General features: G+C 57.1%; 1 protein-coding gene across 2 annotated transcripts in view, besides 5 other annotated features; it reads right to left on the bottom strand.

The window, feature by feature from the left end:
* ASS1 (argininosuccinate synthase 1) overlaps positions 1–19,039 on the bottom strand; it is a 56,568-nt gene that overhangs the window by 16,810 nt on the left and 20,719 nt on the right. For both annotated transcript variants that reach the window (NM_000050.4, NM_054012.4), the window contains 6 exons: positions 17,666–17,740; positions 13,561–13,631; positions 12,950–12,980; positions 7,504–7,594; positions 4,665–4,749; positions 4,016–4,080 (listed from right to left, as the gene is read on the bottom strand). In NM_000050.4, coding sequence (NP_000041.2) covers positions 4,016–4,080; positions 4,665–4,749; positions 7,504–7,594; positions 12,950–12,980; positions 13,561–13,631; positions 17,666–17,740 — 418 coding nt within the window. The remainder of the gene's footprint in view (positions 1–4,015; positions 4,081–4,664; positions 4,750–7,503; positions 7,595–12,949; positions 12,981–13,560; positions 13,632–17,665; positions 17,741–19,039) is intronic.
* Positions 3,644–4,399: an enhancer, noted in NCBI's record as "H3K4me1 hESC enhancer chr9:133355453-133356208 (GRCh37/hg19 assembly coordinates)". NCBI's record gives its function as "activates a minimal SCP1, AML or CMV promoter by ChIP-STARR-seq in naive and primed H9 embryonic stem cells {active_cell/tissue: H9 hESC(naive and primed)}" and the evidence as "EXISTENCE:reporter gene assay evidence [ECO:0000049][PMID:30033119]".
* Positions 4,755–6,205: an enhancer, noted in NCBI's record as "VISTA enhancer hs1328". NCBI's record gives its function as "enhancer in: neural tube[4/4] | hindbrain (rhombencephalon)[3/4] | midbrain (mesencephalon)[4/4] | forebrain[3/4] | trigeminal V (ganglion, cranial)[3/4]" and the evidence as "EXISTENCE:transgenic organism evidence [ECO:0001131][PMID:17130149]".
* Positions 11,909–12,645: an enhancer, noted in NCBI's record as "H3K4me1 hESC enhancer chr9:133347207-133347943 (GRCh37/hg19 assembly coordinates)". NCBI's record gives its function as "activates a minimal SCP1, AML or CMV promoter by ChIP-STARR-seq in primed H9 embryonic stem cells {active_cell/tissue: H9 hESC(primed)}" and the evidence as "EXISTENCE:reporter gene assay evidence [ECO:0000049][PMID:30033119]".
* Positions 12,646–13,383: an enhancer, noted in NCBI's record as "H3K4me1 hESC enhancer chr9:133346469-133347206 (GRCh37/hg19 assembly coordinates)". NCBI's record gives its function as "activates a minimal SCP1, AML or CMV promoter by ChIP-STARR-seq in naive H9 embryonic stem cells {active_cell/tissue: H9 hESC(naive)}" and the evidence as "EXISTENCE:reporter gene assay evidence [ECO:0000049][PMID:30033119]".
* Positions 17,054–17,682: an enhancer, noted in NCBI's record as "H3K4me1 hESC enhancer chr9:133342170-133342798 (GRCh37/hg19 assembly coordinates)". NCBI's record gives its function as "activates a minimal SCP1, AML or CMV promoter by ChIP-STARR-seq in primed H9 embryonic stem cells {active_cell/tissue: H9 hESC(primed)}" and the evidence as "EXISTENCE:reporter gene assay evidence [ECO:0000049][PMID:30033119]".

The raw sequence follows: 19,039 nt of genomic DNA, 5'->3' as shown, positions 1-19,039 counted from the left end.
AGAAAGGTGCAGCGGGGAGTGGGGAGACGGGCAAGGATCTAGGGGTGGCCAGGGGTGGCTGGGGGGAGAGTGGACCAAGCAGAAAGAGGTGGGAACCAAACAGCTACTGTGGCCCAAATTCTTCTCATCTGTCCCTGAGGCTGCCAGGTTAGGCAGAATGAGCAATTTTGCAGAATTGAGTGGGATCCGCCAGCTCAGCTGGGGCCTGGGCTGGAGGTGAGGGCACCTGGACTAAAGGCTCTGGTCCTTTGGGAAAGTAGAAGAAGTGATTTGGAAGAGGTGGGGCATAGGGGTTGGCTGGAGCCCAAGGGCTCCCCTCTTAGGTACCAGGGCCAAGGTGAGAAGCAGTTGCCATGGTGATGGGAGGCCAGTCAGGGTGGGACTCTAGCCATCCTCTATGCTCCTGGTGCCTGGCGGGCCCCATCCTGGGTGGGCCTCTGGGGCTGAAAACCTTTTTGCTTCACAGGTCTCCCTCCATTCTCCATCTGGAATGTTCCAGATGGTGGGTGGGCACGTTGGGCAAGTGGGTGACAGCCCTTGTTCCTTCTGGGCCAGAAAGTGGAGGAGTAAGGAGGAAGGGAGACAGGAGGGGAGAGTGGGGAATGGGGAGGAGGATGTGCAAAGAGGGAAGGGCAAGGGAGGGAAGAGGGGAAGGAGGAGGAAAGGGAGAGAGGGAGGAGGAAAGGGAGAGAGGGAGGAGGAAAGGAAGGCAAGGAGGAGGAGCAAGGCGGGGGCAGGCAGAGGTGAGACGGGCAGGGCTGGGAGGAGAGCGGAGAGGGGAGAGCGGCGGGAGAAGTCTGGGGCCAGAGAGGAGACAGAGAAAGAGGCTGAGCACAAGGACATGCGCTGGCTCCTTCCCGGCCTCCCTCGGCTTCCCTCCGGCCTGCCTTGCCCCCCTTCTCCTCCCCACTGATTTCATTTACTTCACTTAATTAGCCCCCCTCCAGAGTTAAAAAGATAATGTGATAATGACATGTGAACAGCCACAATACGGAGAAAGCTACTCCAGCCGCGGCTTCCCCAGCCCCCTGTCCCTGACCCTGAGCGCCGCTGACTAGGCCACCCCAGACCCAGGGCACTGGCGCTGCCCAACTCCCTACCCGCCCCCGCCCCCCAGAGAAAAAAATCAGCCCTTAACGAATTTCAATTACGAGCTTTGTAAAATCAATACAAATGACATGTTCCCCTTGTACACCGAGATACGGACAATAGCATCTTTCTGTTCTGCCCTCAATATAATTGACGATTAACAGCTTCTCTCATTACTGTACACTTAATAAAAACCTTGTCATGGGGGAATCCACAGTGCCCTAATTTACCGTCTCTCCTCTTTCCTTCTCACATGAAATATTTGGAGTAGAGAAATAAAAACAAGACACCACCCTAAAATTACCTAGCAACTTTGTCTTCTCTCCCCAACCCAAAGCAAGAAAATAGGTGAGTGAGGACATTCAGAGGGAGATGATACGACCTCCTCATCTGGCCCCTTGACAATTGGAGTTCCAGAGGGAGAAACTTGCCTAAGATCACACAGCAAGTTCTTGCCGTCAGAATCCCGATTTTCTTCCCTGTACGACACTGACTAAATTCTGTGCTTTTGGGGAGAGCCTCCAACAGCACACACAAAGTACCAGGGCAGAGTGAAGGCTGGGCTCCAGGAAGCTTTCCCCAGGTGGGTGGTAAGGAGCCACGGGGATTGGAACAGACTGTTGATCTCATGGCTTTGACCTTCTACGGGGATGAGGCCCCCATTCTGGGAAAAAGGTCCAGCCTCCGTGGAATGCTGTCAGCTACCATTCCACATTCAGAATAGTGCATTCCAGGTTTTCATCACTAACCACCTCCTTCAGTTCATTTTTGCTCAACTCTGCTTGACTCGCCCCACCCCACAGGATGCCATTTCACAGTGACTTCAGGCCAGTCCTTATCTTTCCAATAGGGAAGGCAATACACTTTCATCACGTATGCCAATCCTGATCATTTGGTAGTGCCTGCAAGCAGCCCTGAGATACCTCTGGAGTCAACAGGATAATGCCAGCATTGACTGGTGATGCCTGCCACAGGCATGGCAAGGGCATGCCTGTGGCAGGCCCTTATTATGATAAGACAGGTGCAATACTGGAACCCACCCCACCCCCCGCCACACTGACAGCTCCCAGAGGATGGGGGCTGCTTCTGTCCCCATTCCACATGCCCGGGGGACTGATGGCTATTTATGGAGCACTTCCAGTGTACCAGTTCCTGCCACCATACATGAGTTTGAACCCAGATCTGTCCAACTCCAGTCTAAGCTGTTAGCCCTCCACTCCATGCCACTCTGGGCCCAGATGGCAGTCCTGGTCCTGCCACTAAAGTGCCTGGGACTTGAAGCAAGCCCTCTATCCCACCCCTCCCCAGCCCTGGCTTCCGCATCTGTAAATGGGGTGCTGGTCTGTGGCTCCTCAAGGTCCCTCCCAGCTCTCCCTGGAGGGTGCACACCGCGCTGGCTCCCAAGGGCAGGCTGCGACAAAGGGGCATCTAATCACATGTTAATATAGGTAAGAGACAAAGGTAAGCCCGGATAAAAAGGAGCAGCTAATTAGTAACATTGTTCTCAAGGCCTCCCCAGAGCTTCAATTAGGTTGTTTCTCCTGAATAACAGCAAGCAAGGAGCTAAAGCCACAAGAAAGAGGCGAGCCTGCCTCCCCTTCCGCGCTCCCATGTCTTTCGAGGCAAGCCCGTCCCCGCCCCGGTCCATGCTGCCATGCCTTTCCAGGGAAACGCAGACAGGTCAGAGCCAGAGTGATGCAACTCCCAGCGCCTACCGCATTACACTTGGGGAAACTGAGGCCTAGCGATAGATGACAAGTCCAAGGTTGTTGGGCAAGGCAGGGCAAACCTGAGACCAGAAGCAGGCATCCTGCCCTCCGGACCACCACCCTTTTCTTCTGGCCCACATGGGGTGATCGGCTCTCTTTGGATTTTAGAATCTTAGTAAAAATAGCCTGAGAGACATGGGGCCGTGACTATACCGTGGCCAGGTGATATTTGGTTGTGGTATCTTTTCAAATCAACCCTAAGCAAAGAGACCTGAACATTTACCGAAACAGGAAGCCCTGACCCCACCACCAGTATAAAAATTCAGGTGCCCAATTCAGGGGCTGCAACTGCTGAAACCTTGCTCTTTCCCTCTTAGGACCCCCAAGAAAGAACACAGCATGGCTTTATCACACACTGGCAGACCCTCAGGGAGCTGAGATCCCCTTGGTGTATGAATGGGGAAACTGAGTCCTGGAGAGGAGGGTTGTGGTCAAGATGAAATGCTGATTGGCTGACAAAGGGAATCATGGGCTTTGGCTACTAAGAGAAGACAGAGGCACCTGCTTGGGGACCAACTGCCCTGCTCCTGGGCCCAGCCACAGGCGGATACGAGGCTAGGCAGGCTAGAGGCCAGCCGAGGTGGCAGGCATGTCACACTGAAGCTCAGCCTCAACTGCGGCACAGCCCCAACTGTGGCACAGCCCCATCCCTGGAGAAAAGGGCCAGTGAGCCGTGCCTGATGCTGGGACAGGTCCTTAGGCCCTGGCCGGCTCCCAGTGCCTGTGCAGCCACAGCGCCCACCCCTGGCAGGATTTTCGCCCTGCCTGGCCGGCGGCCTCCATGCGGCCTTAATGACCACGAAATCGGGCCTGCACGGTCTGCCTCCACACCCGGCCTGCCCACCCCAGACACAAGACAGCCTGACCTCCAGGCCTGGCCCTGGCCTCCCTGCTCCTCGGAGACTCCCCAGGCCCTCCTGGGCCTCTCCCAGCCCTTGGACAGCTCTTCTCATAACACCCTGAAAGTCAGGGGCAAAGGGCCCACGATCCCCACTTGGCAGGAGGGAAACTGCGGTCTCACGGGGTGTGGTGAAAGGACGTGCCCAAGGTCGCCCACGGAGCATGGGGGTAGTAGCGTCCAAAGGGGACAGGGTCTCAGGGATCTCTGGGTTTGCTGGGTCCCGAGGCAGGCCCTGAGGGAGGCTGAGCAGACTCACCTCGGGACTTCATTCCAATGAAGCGGTTCTCCACGATGTCAATACGGCCCACGCCATGCTTGCCCCTGTGGGAAGAACTGGTCCATTAGGTTCGGGCGCTACCGCAAGGCTCAGAGTCACCCACCCAGCTGGGCTGTCCCAGGGTGGGCACAGCTTAGGCCACACATTAGGCAGCATTTCAGGATCTAAGACTCAAGAGGACATCTGAGCCGGGTCACCTAGTCCAGGTGCCCACTGGACAGGTGGGGAAACTGAGGCCCAGAGAGAGCAGGGATTGCCCAGGTGTGAGTTCACATTGTTCCTTCCGTTCCCTGTGTCCTGGGGCCCTGCCTAGCGCCACAGCTAACTACTGCTCCCTTTCCTTCTATCCTGGCCTCCCATCCAGCCAAGGGCCTGAGAGCCCCGGCCTAATGATCCCTTGGAGGCAGGAGACCTCCTGGGGTTGTTATCTTCCAAGGCTAAGGACCACGGAGCCTCTCCTGCCAAATGGGTCCCCCTGGTCCGGGAAACTCTGTGGCTATGGGGAAGGGACATGGCCTGTGCTCCGCACCCCTGAGCCTCAGCCACAACCATTAGCTGCAACGGTCCAGGCTCGTGCTCGCCCGAGACGGCGGTTCCCAAGAGGCCGGACAGGGCTGCAGACACTCACGCGACTTCGTTCAGGTACATGAAGAGCTCCAAGGAGGTCTGGTGGGTGGTGCCATCCTTGACGTTGGTCACCTTCACAGGGACCCCTAGGGTGGGAAGAGAGGGCAGTGGGCCTCTGGGCCCGGCTCAGCGGAGGAGTCTGCACCCGCCACCCCACCCTCTCCCTCCTCCCGAAACGCCTTAAATGGATGTGACAGATATGGACTCCAAATGACTCCTTCAAAAGCCCTGTGCAGGTTGAGGCCTGCTGCAGGGAGAGAAGGGGCGAGAAAGCCCCCCAGAATGAAAGAGAAAATGCAATAAAAACGCTCTCCCCCACCCTCCCATTCTCTTTGCCCCTTTTGCATTTAGGGGCTGTGAAATTGGAACCAGGCCCTGAACTAATTGAATTTCACGCTCCACCATTGTCTTACGCCGGGAGCACCTTCTGTCCCACCAGTCACCCGGGGGCCGCCTGGCCGAGGTGTGGCTGGGCTCAAGCACACACATACTCGCTCACACACACACACACACACACACAGCCCCCTGCCACGTCTGTCAGGCGGACCCCGCGCCCCGACCCTGTACCCCAGACCCACACGCAGCCATCTGATTGATGGGGGTGACACGGTGCCCGCTCCAGCAGGCGAGGTGTCGGCAGCGTCCCTGAATCCGAGGAGCTGGGTCCGGGGTGGCAGGAGGGAAGGGGTTGGGTGGGGGCAGTGGGTGGGTTCGGGGTTGACTTTGAATAGCAAGGGGCACTTTCTCGAGCGGTGTGAAATGAGCAATAAATGTATTGGGGCTAACAAGAGAGCTGAAACAGTGACAAAGAAAAGCTGTTCAAAGTTGGCGGCTAATCCCCCACCCATCTGCCCGGCTCATTACCATGGAGCGAGCCATCGGGTGCCAATCAGGCCTCAATAGCGGCTTTCGAGGCTTTATTAGCCAGGCGCCGCTTGGAGGGGCTTCACTCAAGGCGCTGTCAGCCTCGCCATTCTTAACCCCCATTTCCAGGGGTTTTATAACTTGGTTGTAAATTGCTATTAAATGTAAGTCTGCCCAATAATGAACCTTAAGCCCCTCTCACCACCCCCCGCCTCTCCTCTCTCCCTTTCTCTCCCTCCCCGGTCCTATTATCGGCCTTCGCTGGGGCCTTAGATGGGGCCTGCCCGGGAGAAGAGGTGACATTGTTGGTGCTGCTGCTGGAGAAAGCCTCTTAGCCTTTAAAATAGTTAATAATTAGATTAAAACTTCAAATAAATTAACTAGAGAGTGAATGGGCACTAGCCAGGGGAGGGTTCCTCCGGTCTTTTTTTCTTCTTCCAGACAGTCCCCAAATCATGACAATAGGTCACGTTTCTTCTCCAGCTCAGCCTGCGGAGCTGCCCTGGTCCTCGGGCAGGGCTGCCAGAGCCTGGTGCCCAGGACCCTCCGCAGCCTGCCACCCGCCTCCCACCCTCACGGCTCTCCAGGCTCCTGGGAGCCCTGTGCAGGGAGCCAGGAGGTGCTGCTGGGGCCACTCCCACCATCTTCTCAGAGATGATCCTAAAGGGAGGCTCTGTGCCTGCAAACAGGCCTGGGGGCCCGGCTGCCTTTGGGGTCCTCTTTGGCCCCCCAGTAGGTTGGGACAGATGAAGGGGAGCAAGGAAGACAGTCGCTGGCTTGGCCAAGCTCTTGGGAAAGGCCCAGAAGAGGCAGATTATTAAAGCACTTAGCCTCCGACACCCCATTCCACATACCATGCCGGGCACCTGTGAGCATCATGCCTGTGGTCCGTTTTTTGATGAGTGCACCCAAGGCCCAGCATGGTGAAGCTGGCTGTCAAGGTCACACCAGCAAGGGGGAGAGGGGGATCTGCAGCTCTGCCTCCCCACCGGCCTGAGGCTTCCCCACCCTATCCTCCTTTCTGTGGTAGCCGGGGTAAGAGCCGAGCGCCAGAGCCGGGCCAGGCCTCTCCACGAGCCTCTCTCCCTCTCATCCCAGCTCCAGTGTGGGCAGCCACTTTGTGGACGAATGGGCCAGCCCCCCGCCTGGTCCTTGGGTGCCCCTGTGCCCAGCACCACCTCCTCCAGGAAGCCTCCCTGATCACTCCAGCCTCCTGAAAAGGTACCCCTTCAGGCCCTCTGAGCCCGCCCTCTGAGCCCTCCCTCTGAGCCCAGGCGGGCATGCCTCGCTTCTCCATCCTTCCTCCAGGCCAAGAGATGCCCTCTCCCAAGCTCAGGCACCCAGGCACTCAGGCCAGGTCAGCAAACGCTTCTTGTTGACAGCAGTGAGAAGGAGGGAGCGATCAGGACAGCCTCCACTGCCGAGGGGAGCAAGAGTGGCCGCAGCTTTGAACGTGGGGTCAGCAGGGTGAGGCCCAGAGCGGCTCAATGAAGACTGGCGAAGGCTTTCCATGTGGGGTCCCAGGGGTCCATGAGGCCAGCTCGCCAACACTCACCGTTTACTGAGCACCTTCCGGGGTCAGGGCCCAGGGCTGGACGCTCCCTTGCAGGCCTCATTCTACCCCAGGAAAACAGCAGGCACTCTTTCATCCTCAGATACAGCTGAGGAAACTGAGGCCCAGGAAAGTTGAGTGGCTGTTCAGGGACTAGAGCGCTCTCATTCCAGACCTGGTGCCCATGAACCCGAGTGATGGGTAGCCGAGGGCATGTTCCTCCCAAGCCTAGAGGCATCCATGGTCCATGGGTTGTACTGTCCAGGGAGGTGGGCTGTGCGTTACCTTGAAGCCCCTGCCTGAACTCTAGCTTCCAGGAATGCAGGGCGGGGGTAAAGAGGGCCTAGGTTCCCAGGCAGGGAGGGGAAAGGAGCCAGGGCCCCAAAAGTCAACCCCCTTCGAGTCCCAACAGGTGGGCACATACCTTTTTTGAACTCGATCTCGAGAATGTCAGGGGTGTTGGGGGCTTTGGCTGGGTCCTGGGTCTTCGTGTAGAGACCTGGAGGCGCTTGGTTCTGAAAAAAGACAGAAAGTGGTGGGCAGATGACATACCAGTCCCTGGACACCCTACAGCCCACCTCCCGCGGGGATCTGCACCCCTCTCCTCTGTCCATTTCCCCACCAGCTGGTGGGGTCCGGCAGATCCCCCGGTCCCCAGCCCTCAGCCTAGCACCAGCCTCGCTTGCCAGAGGCCTGGGAAACAAAGGGCTGGAGAAATCAGACAATTTTTCCCCTCAACTTGATCTCATCTTTTTCTTCGACGCCCCCACAGCTGGAGGTAGAATAGCTGGAGAGGAACAAGTCAGGCAGGAAAAAGTGTGACTTTGGAGGAGCAAGGCGGCGTTCCGAGGGCTTCCCAGGAGCGGCACGCACGCTCTCGCCGGCTCGGGATTGGGGTTTATTCTGCACTGACCGCAAAGCTAATGACTGCCTGTGACCCCAGCAGGTGCTCTGGCAAGCCGAGCCGTCCCCAGGGTCCCCAAGGTTAATACTCACAGGGAGAAAAGAGAAGAGCAAAGCAAAAACCCATTTGAAAACACATCAACCTTTATGTATATTTTTTCTTGGGCGTGTTGGAAAATGGGCCTCTCGTCTGATGCAGTGGTGGAGGGGCTGCGTGTTGCCTGAAACTCTCGAAATTCCCTCCCACCTTCGGAGGCCCCAGCTCCCCCAGGCCGTGGCTTGGACATTTGCCACTGTGGGGACTGGGGCCTCTTGGGCCTGACTGCTCAGGTCCCTCCTGTGGGCATCCTGTGCCTGGGGTCCTTGTTCACCTGCTGACATCCAGGAACTGCTGTCTCATCTTTGCTTTAAAAACCTTGCAGACGGCTGGGCACAGTGGCTCACACCTGTAATCCTAGCACTTTGGGAGGCTGAGGTGGGTGGACTGCCTGAGCTCAGGAGTTCGACACCAGCCTGGGCAACGCGGTGAAACCCCATCTCTACTAAAATACAAAAGAAATTATCCGGGTATGGCGGCATGCGCCTGTAGTCCCAGCTACTCAGGAGGCTGAGGCAGGAGAATTGCTTGAACCTGGGAGGCGGAGGTTGCAGTGAGCCGAGATTGCACCACTGCACTCCAGCCTGGGTGAGAGAGCAAGATTCCGTCCCCCACCCCCCCACCAAAAAAAAAAAAAAAAAAAACACCTTGCACACATTCACGTATTGCTTCCCATCTGCAGTCTGAGTTCTCAGCAGCCCCATTTGGTAAGAAGGTCAAGCGCTCTTACCCCATCAACAGATGAAGAAATTGAGGCTGAGCGGGAGGGACTGGAGCTACAACTGTGAGTTCTGTGCAGGCAGAGACCACGTGGGACTTGTTCCCTGGCACTCAGGACAGGAGCCCCGCGAGGTCCTCGCCAAATACACATTGTATTTTAGAGTGATGGGCATTACCCCGTGCCAGGATCAAGAGCTCAGGCTGGGGGGCCTTGGGGAAGCTTCACTTCCTCCAGCCTCAGTTTCCTCATCTGTAAAATGGGGAAAATGATACCTGCCCTTGGCCATCTTACAATTTAAGTAGTATATATATATTTTTTAATTGGACATGAAAACACACAGGAAAATGTCAGGGAAGGCCTGGTACAAACGGGAACATGCTCTGCAGGTGGAAAGGGCAGCTGAAATTCACTCTGGGGGTACATGCTCGGCCCAGCCTCCTCCTCATTCTGCATGGGATGGGGCTACATAAGTGCCTTGGAAGCTCACCTGTGGTCATTTGCCTGTGGCTCTGTGTTAGAGTGACCAAGTGCCCTGATTTCTCCTGGTTTTAGCACTGAAAGTCCTTTGTCCCAAGAAACCTCTTAGTCCTGGGCAAACCAGGACAATTGATCCTTCTAAGACAGGGACTGTGGTGGATCCTCCACCCCCACCTCCAAGGTACGATGTGACTCAGGGCCAGCTGTATCCCTGCATCAGTGCCCATTTGTGGGGCAGGAACAAGAACCCAGAACCTTCCCTGAAGACAGACTCCAGGAGGTAGGAGGGGCCCTGAGGGACCCCCAGCCTGATGCCTCTATGGACCACAGGGAAAGCCAAGGCTGAGAGGTGGCTTCTCCAAACCATGCTTTGGAAGCTAAACACAGGGACTCTTTCCGCCACCTTATGCTGGTTCCCAGCTGCTGTAGTAACCTGGGCTGAGAAACAGGGTGAGGCCTGTGGCCAGAGCCAGCCAGCATCACAGCCACAGGTAGGCATCAGGGCTGGCCCACCCTGCCAACTGCAGCATTCCCTGGGCACAGACGGGTCCCAAGGCTCATCCTCAGCAAAAAGGTAAAGTGAACTGGACTGGATCTTGGGGTGACCACACAACTCCACAGCCCCATCTCCAGCTGCCTGGGACTCCCCCAAGCCTCCAACCAGGGTGCCGGTACGAGGGCCCCACTCCCACCCAAGCCCAGCTCTCTCCCACCTCCACCTGCGCTGGGCCCGACTGTCAACTGTTTTCAATGCGTTGCTTGTCACTTTCTCTCCCGCCACACTTCCTGAGGGAGCCCCAGACCGAAGTGGAGGCTGACAGTGTGTGCATTTGGAAGGAGAGGGGATGGGAAGACTGGAGGACGAGTTTCTGCAGACCGCAGCGGAAGTCAGAGGCAGCTGTCGGGCAGGCACCTGACAGCGCCGATTAAATAAAATAACTAAATAGAAATAAAATGACATTTGCTTTGCATTCCGCGGTGGCTCGAGCGCCTGCCTTCTTTTTACTCTCCTTCCTAAAAGCCCAGTTCTAATGACAAATAGTTTGTTGCCAAGTATCAATGCCATCTATTTATCCCTCCCAGCGGGAGGGCTCACTTCCAATGTCATCTGTGGGGGGGGGGGGGTGCGGGGGAGGGAAGAGAGTGAAGAAAAAGAGAGAGAGAGAGTCGGGGTGGGGGCTAGGGGGAGAGGGCGAAAGAAAGCATGAAACAGGCCCCGAGAAGGAGAAATTGGAAGCAAATGGCCCATGAACTAAACCATGATGTAGAGGCATGATCGATGCCGCAAATGGTTTATTCATCCATCAGCTATGGCGGGCCGGCGACTGAATGAACTCTTTCACTGTGGACCGTATGAAGTTAAAGCAAGTAAATTTCTATCTTTCTTCGCATTAGCTGCCTCATTGCCCTTCAATCAGCCCTCACGGAGGCAGAAAATGGCTCAGCCATCTGCCTTCAAGCCCTCCCTTCCGCAGGTCTCCTGGCTTCTTTTGGAGAGGGGGAGGGGCACGGGTTCCCCAGGCTCTGTTCCCCTGAGCTCATCCCGAGGGGGACAGGGCTGCCAGGTCCAGGGATGCAAGGGTGCGTCCTGACGTTGAGCCCCACCCTCAGCACAAAGCCCTTGGGGAGTCTGCATGGCTGGGGCAAACTTCTTTCCAGAGTGACTGGACTCTGGGTGCCTGGGTGGGACTCTGGGTGCCTGGGTGGGACTCTGGGTGCCCCGGGCCTCTCAGCAGGAACGATGTTTCCCCTGACTCACACCCAGCTTAGCCCAGCCCAGCCTTTCTTGAGAGGGGTCCCTGAGAGGACCTTGGACCCTTCCTCCCATGAAGAGGTAGCATGGGACCCCCAGCTGCATGACTGAGGGCTTGCCCTGAGACAGGCCAAGCGCTTTAGATGCCCTAGGAGGGAGGTGCTGTGTTTTCCCACTTTGGGCAAGGAGTACTGGAGGCTCAGAGAGGTTGGGTAACTTGCTCGAGGTTGCACAGCAATAAGAAGAAAAGTTGGGATTTAGACTCGGGTTTCCTGTCTCTGGGACCCAAGTGTGGGTGAGGTAGCAGGATCCTTAATCCAGATTCTCTTTAGTACTGACTTCTCCACCCAATGCCCTCATGAGACAGGAGGCCTGGGAGGGCGCAGGACCTGCCCACCGTAGCTCAGTAACCTGCTCCAGGCCCCGGATGCCCTCCTGCACGGTCCGAGGGGGTGATTTCCCTCTGGCCTTGCTCTGCTTTCTCAATCCTGAGGTCCTCTATTCTGGGGGGGCCTCCTCTCTGCCCCCATAGGCTGCTTGCAGAGGCCATAGGCTGCTTGGAGAATGGCCGGGAGTGGTTGCCCAGCATGCTTGGGGCCCACGGGCCTGAGAGGATGCCCTGCCTGGAAGCCACCCTGCAGGCTCGGCCTCCCTGCCTCCCTTGGAGCTGACTGACTGGCTAATTAGGGTGGCTGGCCTGAGTGTTGTGGGGTCAGCAGAGCATGAACTAGAAAAACCTGTGACCAGCAGGCAGCAGCCACACACAGGGGCCATCAGCCCCCAGGGGGCAAGGGTGGCAGCTCTCCTGAGTGACAGGTTTGGACAGGGAGGGGCCGTGGGCAGTAGGGGAGCCACAGAGCTGGAGGGCACCAGCCCCAGGGCCCGTTCCCTCGCCCTGAGCAGCCGGTGCCCGGGCCTCAGTTTCCTCAACCATAAAGTGAGGATGCTCCCAGCCAGTGTCCTAGGAACTGAGCCAGGACAATGCCACCCCCGGCCCGCTCCCCAGACATGGTGGCTGCCATGTGATATTACAGCCAACACCGACCAGGGGGCGGCACGCGGGCGTGAGAGTGACAGACGCCCGGGCCCTGGGGGATCCTGGGCGGGGCTCTGGCGCTCCCCAATTTCACCAAACCTCCCCGGGCACCCTCCCCTCCAGCTGGTCTTCTTGATTCCCCCAGGCCCAGCTGCATCCCCTCAAAAAGCACACTTTTCCCGCCTCCAAACCAGCCTCCCCGGGGTGTGGGGCTGGGCCCGGGAACTAAGACACATTCCCTCAGGGACAAAGAGATTTTTCTCTTCCCATGATAGATTTGGCCCTGCCTCCCCCACCTCCCACAGTGGGCAGGGGTAGACACAAAGAAGCCCCCTACCCCCGGGAGAGAAACCCGAAACTTCAAACAGAGCTGAGGGCCCAGTCCAGCCCGCCCGGGAAGCTTGGGACCGGATCAGGGTGGCCGGTGGTGGCGGGTGTGCAACACGGATCCAGACAAATGGGGCCTAGGGCTCTCAGCCATGCCTCCCCCCACCCCCCACAACCAAAACTCCAGCAGCACAGCCTGGGAGCTGGTGGGCACAGGCTGGGCCCTCCCCCAAGTGTCTCATCTGCCTAATTACTTCTTTATTGTCTCACAATCACACTCTCTCTCTATGCTGCCCTGAGATATTTCCTTCCCCTGTTCATCCCAGAGGCAATTAGAAGAGGAAGGGCGGGGGGAGGTCTTCAAATGCAGCGAGGAGACGGTGGGCAGAGGGGGGCCAGTGCGGGGGTCGGGGAACACAGGCAGGGCTCGGCCCCAGCCCCACGGCTGGCCCCCGTGAAATTTCAAATTAGGCTATAAATACATCAGACAGCATCGGCATGGAGCTGCTACCACCAAAGGTGGCCAGCTGGGAGGAGATGGGGTTTGGGGGATTACCTTGGGGTTCTCCAGGATTCCAGCCTCGTAGCTGCGGAGGGGAAAGGAAAGACAGGGTCAGCTGGGGAGGGACATGGCATGTCCCCATCCCCCAACACACACACCCCATTGTGCCCATGAGCCTGGTCTGCCTTTTACTCTCTGCCAGAGCATCTGCTGCCAACCTGCCTGAAACATTCTGGGCCCACCATAGTCACCCGTGGAGCTGCAGGTTGTAAGAAAGAGCTGGGGCCTTTACCTGTCTTCTGGGGACTGCCCCGGGGCTCTGCACGTGGTTGGGGGGGCCTCTGCCTCTGCCTTAAACACTCTTCCCCTGTGCCACATCTGGGCCTCTTCTCCATCCTTGAATGCCACCTCCTCTAAGAAGCCCTCCTTGATACTCCTGATGAGGCCGGGTCCCCATGATCTATCTCCCCAACAACACTCAGCAGAACTGCAATGAGGGCAGTGCATGAGCCGGGCGCTTCGACCTCTGTCCTGCCTGAGGCCTCTCAGCTCCCCGAGGGCAGGGACCACTGGTGTGGGGGTCACCAGGACGTCCTGGGGCAGCGCGTGGCCGTCCTTTGGAATGAGCCCGGGAGGACCAAGGATGGGTGGAGGGTGGGATTTACCTGATGTGCATGAGGTTCTCATCCATGCTCCACGGGTTCTTGGGAGTGACCGGGATGGGAATCCCGTGTTGCTGCAGGAAAGAGACAGCACAGGTGGAGGTAAGGCGGCTGGAAGGACGCGTGAGGTCCGTCCCAGGGGCCCTGCTTTTTCAGAGAGCCCCAAACTCTGGCCCCCATTCAGACAAGACCCTGGCTACCTCCTAGTGTTGGTCACGGTCACCTCCCTGGGGGGACCCTATTGCTGGACATGCCCCAGAGAAACTGCAGGACCGTGTGTCTGCAATGCTGACCTTGGAGGTTCCTTCCAGAAGACTTTGAGTCTACATCTCAAGGACCCCTGAAGCACTGAGCAAGCACGCAGGTGCCATGCCCAGCCAGGTCTCCCGGCACCAGCCAACCAGCCCCGCCACCACCCTACGAGCTGGGGCTTGTGTGAACCCGCTCGCACTGTGGACCGGGGCACCTGGCACCAGAGCCCAGGCAGTGCTTCCTGTGGACCCCAGGACAGGTAGGATGCAGGGAGAGCTTTTAGCTCATGGCCCACACCTTCTGGGGGCACCCCTCCCTGGGCCTGGCGCAACAGCCACACACATCACTCTGCAGACCCTAGAAGGGGAACACCCAGCAGATCCCGTCTCCAAGGCACTCGGCTCTGGCTCTGTTTCGCTTCCTAAATGGCCCAGTCTGTTGTTACAGGAGGACACCCACCTCTGCCCAGGAGGCCCAGGCTAAGAGGGCTGCAGGTCACGCATGGAAGGCCCACCTGACTCAGCCTTAAGAGGAGGAAGAAGATGAGGCTTGTCGCCCTGGGGACCCGCACCACCCTTGATGACGCCCGACTGGAATCCAGCTCGTGCACTCCAGCCTCCTCCTGCACTCGGACACCTGGCACTGCTCTCCTGGCCCCAAGCTTATAGGGCACAGGGTGCACTGAAGGGGCCCCACCCAGCCCCTCAGAGCCAGCGAGACTGGATGCTCTGCCTCTGAGCCCCTTCAGCCCCTCAGCCCCACTGGATCCCTGTGGGAACCACAGGCAGCCCCCACCGGGTCACCCTCCCATCTCTCTCCTGATGGGATCGACCCCACTCAGGCTCATTCCCAAGATGGTGAGATTCTAGAGGCCTCCTGCAGGGAGCAGCTGTTTCCCCATCACCACCTTAACATTAAAATGAGGCTAAATGCTCTGGTTTCGGGGTTTTCTAGAAAGCCAGGAGACTCATTTTAAAACAGCCTACAAGGCCAGGTGCAGTGGCTCACTTGAGGTCAGGAGTTCAAGACCAGTCTGGCCAACATGGTAAAACCTTATCTCTACTAAAGATAACAAAAATTAGCCTGGCATGGTGGCAGGCGCCTGTAGTCCCAGCTACTTGGGAGACTGAGGTAGGAGCATCACTTGAACTTGGGAGGCAGAGGCTGCAGTGAGCTGAGATAGTGCCATTGCACCCCAGCTTGGGTGACAGAGTGAGACTCTATCTCAAAAAAGAAAAAAAAAAGAAGAGAAAGAAAAAATCACTAAGGGCCCCTAAGAGCCTTAGTTTGTGTAGATTATCTCATCAACAGTTACCATATTACACGTGAAAACTGAAATTTAAAAAAACAAAACACAGCCCACGATCTACTCTAGAATTTGAAGACTCTTCAGCCCACACACTCGCCCTGTGCCCTTGGCCAGGCATGGGTACCCGGACCCTGTGCAAGGCAAGACTGGACTCTCCAGCAGAGATGTCCTGGTGGCCTGCTGGGCTCCGTCCTCGCTCCTCACTCAGCTCAGCAGCTGGGTGCTAAGAAGAGCAGCCGGCCAGGCTCCGTGGAGCCTCTGTTTTTGGGCGGTGGCGTGAAAGAACCTTTGCCTCCCTTCTCAGCGGACCTCCGTCCAGGAGCAAGGAGAGGCTAAAGGGCGGGGAGGAAAGCAACAGGGGCCAATGACAATGACCCTCCCAAGACCAAAGAGATTTGTGTTTCCCAGCCTCTCTCGGTCCCGAGGTGCCTCCCCTCACACTCTCATTGTAATTGAGGAGAAAAAACAAAACGATCTCCAACATGTAGACAACGTGAGACCATCCTGTTTCTAGCTCCCACCTTGTAGTCTGGCTTTAAAAATAATAATTATAGCCAGGCTGGGCAGTATAGCAAGACCCTGTCTCTACAAAAAAAAATTTAAAAATTAGCCAAAGCTGGGTGTGGTGGCTCACACCTGCAATCCCAATACTTTGGGGAGGCCAAGGAGGGTGGATTACTTGAGTTCAGGAGTTCAAGACCAGCCTGGGCAACATGGTGAGACCCTGTCTGTAAAAAAATAAATAAATAAATATATGAAAAACAAAAATTAGCCAGATGTACTAGGGCACGTTTGTAGTTCCAGCTACTCAGGAGGCTGAGGTAGGAGGGTCAGATGAGCCCAGGAGGTTGAGGCTGCAATGAGCTAGGATTGTGCCACTGCACTCCAACCTGGGTGACAGAGTGAGACACTGTCTCTAAAAAAAATTTTTTTTTAAATTATGGTGACAGTGACAAGGATGGGGTGGTTCTGAGTGTTTTTCCGTTGGACGATGGGTTGGGAGAGGATGGCCAGCGAAGCAAATGCATGTTTTTTATGAGTCCTCTGGCGCCTTTTTGCCTTGGCTACCGAAGCGTCTTGAAAGCAGAGATTTTTGAAAGCCCCATTGATTTTTGTGTCATCCATCTCAGATCCTGCCTGGCTCAGAATTTTGGAGGAGGCCTCATCACTGCTCAGTCATTCTGACATTTCCTGGGTGCAGAAACACTGCCTCTGCCTCCTTCTAGAACGTGCTCAGATTCCCCACAGTCATTTCTGATGAAACCCATCTCCAGGAGAGGGTAGGTGGCCGAGGGGGCCATGCTCATCTTTCCCTGGCAAACTTTTCCGGCTCAAAAGGTTATTTGGGATGGAAGCTGAGCTCAGCACCTTCTCCTCAAAACCTGAGAAGGAAGGACAGCAGTGTGCTCCTGAGACTCATCTATGCTAGAAAAACCAGAAGCTGCTTTTGTCTGGGGACTTAACGGAAAGAAAGGGCAACGTATGGGTCGGCCCTGCCCCTCTCTATCCAGGACTCGAGGCGTGAGGGTAGAGCTGGGTGGGGGCTCCAATTCATTATTCTTAAAGATGAAACACGCTTCATATTCTATATCATCAAGGAGACCAGGGGAGAAACCTCACCAACCCGGCTCCCTTAATAGCTCTGCTATTTGACAATTTGTTTGGCAACATATGGGCTTGCTCTTGTAAACTCCCCTCTTAATAATAAAACAACAGATGGTGGAGAAGGTCTTCCCTCCCAGCACTCCAGGTCTTAATGGGTTGCTGGCGGCGGGGGCAGGGCTGCGTCCCTGCCGCCTCCCCTACCACGCGGCACCTTGGCTGCAGCGAGAGCTCACAGCCAGCCTTGGCGACTGCTATTTAAAAACCTGAGCAATTTTCTGGTGTGTGCGCTGAGTTGCTTTTCCCCGGCCTGATTGATTGAGGCTGTTTGTCAAGGGCTGCCATCGAGTCGCTAAAAAGAAAGGTGCCCTGGGGAGCGGCTAAGGATCTTGATGCAAAACTTCTAATATGTTTTATTGCAACTTGTACTTCAAAAAGGGCTGGTGCCATAAAAGGCTTTGTCTGCGACTGTCCCTTGGAGCGCCTACCTGTTCCCGGGGAAAGCGCTAGGGGCAATTAGTATCCAGGGAATTGGGAGAACAGCTCCCGATCACATCCCCCCGGCCGGCCATCACATCCCCCAGCCATCCCCCCAAGTGACACACACCAAGACACACACACTGCGGAGGTGGCAAGCAGGGCTCTGGTCTCCGCCTCCCAGGGAGCAGGAGAGAGAGTGAGCCCTGTGTCCTCTGGCTCGGGGGACTGGGAAATGGCCTCAGAGCGGCTCCGCCCTGGCAACGGGCTGGCAGATGACCACACCTCTGTGGGGTCAGCCCAGGGGACAGAGGCCACGTGTGTAGGCAGCTGGGGTGGAAGTTCAATCCCCCATCACATGGGGTCAGTCCCGGCCTAGGCCACTGGCTCAGACAGCCCCCAGCAGGGACGTGCCCGGGAAGGGGGCTATAGGGAAAGGTTGGGGGTGGTGGGGAGACTCGGCCATACCTTTGCGTACTCCATCAGGTCATTGCGGCCCTTGAACCGGTTGTAGAATTCAGGCATCCTCCAGGGAGCAATGACCTGGACATAGGACAAGGGGTCAGAGCCGGGAGGGCCGAGCTGTGGGCTTCCCCTGGCCTGTAAGCTGCAGAGCTGGCCTCTCCTGGGAGGGGCCCATGGGGGTCTCCAGCATGTCCCCAGAGAGGATGCTGTTGTGAGGGTGAGAGGGAGCCCCATGAAGGAGGGGAAGGACACAGACTCCCTCACCGGGGCTGGCTGGACGGAGCCTGCACTCCATGGCAGAATGGTGGTGTGTTGGGGTGAGAAGGGGGTCCCTGTTCCCTGGGCCTCAGTCTCCCCAGATGAGACCTGAGAGTTTGAACTAGACGGGGTTCATGGTCCTTGCCAGCACCTTCAGCCACAGGGCCACTGCCGTGACCCAGGGAGAGTCCACAGAGCTGCCGCTGCTGGCCTGGCCCCACGTGTGGTCGGGGGCCCAGAGAGGCATAGGCTGCCCCCCACCCACTTCTCTGGGTGTGGAAGGGAAAGAAGTGGGGGAAGACTCTGAGCCTGGCTGAGGGACCAAGCTCATTCCCCTTGAGCCCCTCGGCCTGAGCTGGTAAAAAGAGCCCCCGACTCAGCCCTGGAGCTCACCAGGCCCCTGCCTCTGAGCAGGACTCGGGGGCATGTGTGTGTGGGGGTGGAGATGTCATTTGGCTGCTGGGCCGTGGAGCTGACAGTGGTGCAGGGCAATGGAAGGGGCCCGCCACCTCCTCAGCCCCTCAGAGCAGCCATGGGAAGACCACAGCCCTACTCCCAGCTCCTGGAGCAGCTTGGCCCCTGCCCCAATCCCATCTCAGTGCCTGGGCTTGGCCTCTGCAGACAAAGACCTCGAAACTGGACACCCTGGCCCCACAAGCTGCTGTGGGAACCGAGGGAGGGCCCCGTCCTGCGGCCTCGCTGGCAGCAAGTCAACAAGCAGCTACTGTCCCAGCCACTGAGCTGCCTGGTGTCTGGGGTCAAAACAGATCATTAGAGCTCATTACGGCTCACCTCCAGGCCACGCATCCCAAGAGCTACCAGCTGGTTAAAGGGACGGGGAAAGAGATTCCTCTTAGAAAGAACAAAATGGAAACTCCTGTGAGCCCCTTGGGGGCTTAGGAGGGGGCAACTCTTCCAGAGCTTGAGCCCAAAGCGGCCTCAAAAGAGCTCAGTCCCGGCCTGTGCTGCCCACAGGTGGCCACAAGCCACGGGTGGCCATTCAGAGCACCTGAAATCCAGCCAGCTAGCGAGACATGCCTGCATGCAGCACATTCTGGGTCTTGCAGACTCAACACAGAAGAAAAAAGAATGTAAACATTAATAATTATTTTTTTACAT

Source organism: Homo sapiens, chromosome 9 (assembly GCF_000001405.40).
Source record: "Homo sapiens chromosome 9, GRCh38.p14 Primary Assembly".
In the NCBI taxonomy this organism is placed as follows: Eukaryota; Metazoa; Chordata; class Mammalia; order Primates; family Hominidae; genus Homo; species Homo sapiens.
The sequence above is the reverse complement of the archived record's forward strand: the minus strand, read 5'-3'. Positions and strand labels throughout refer to the sequence as shown.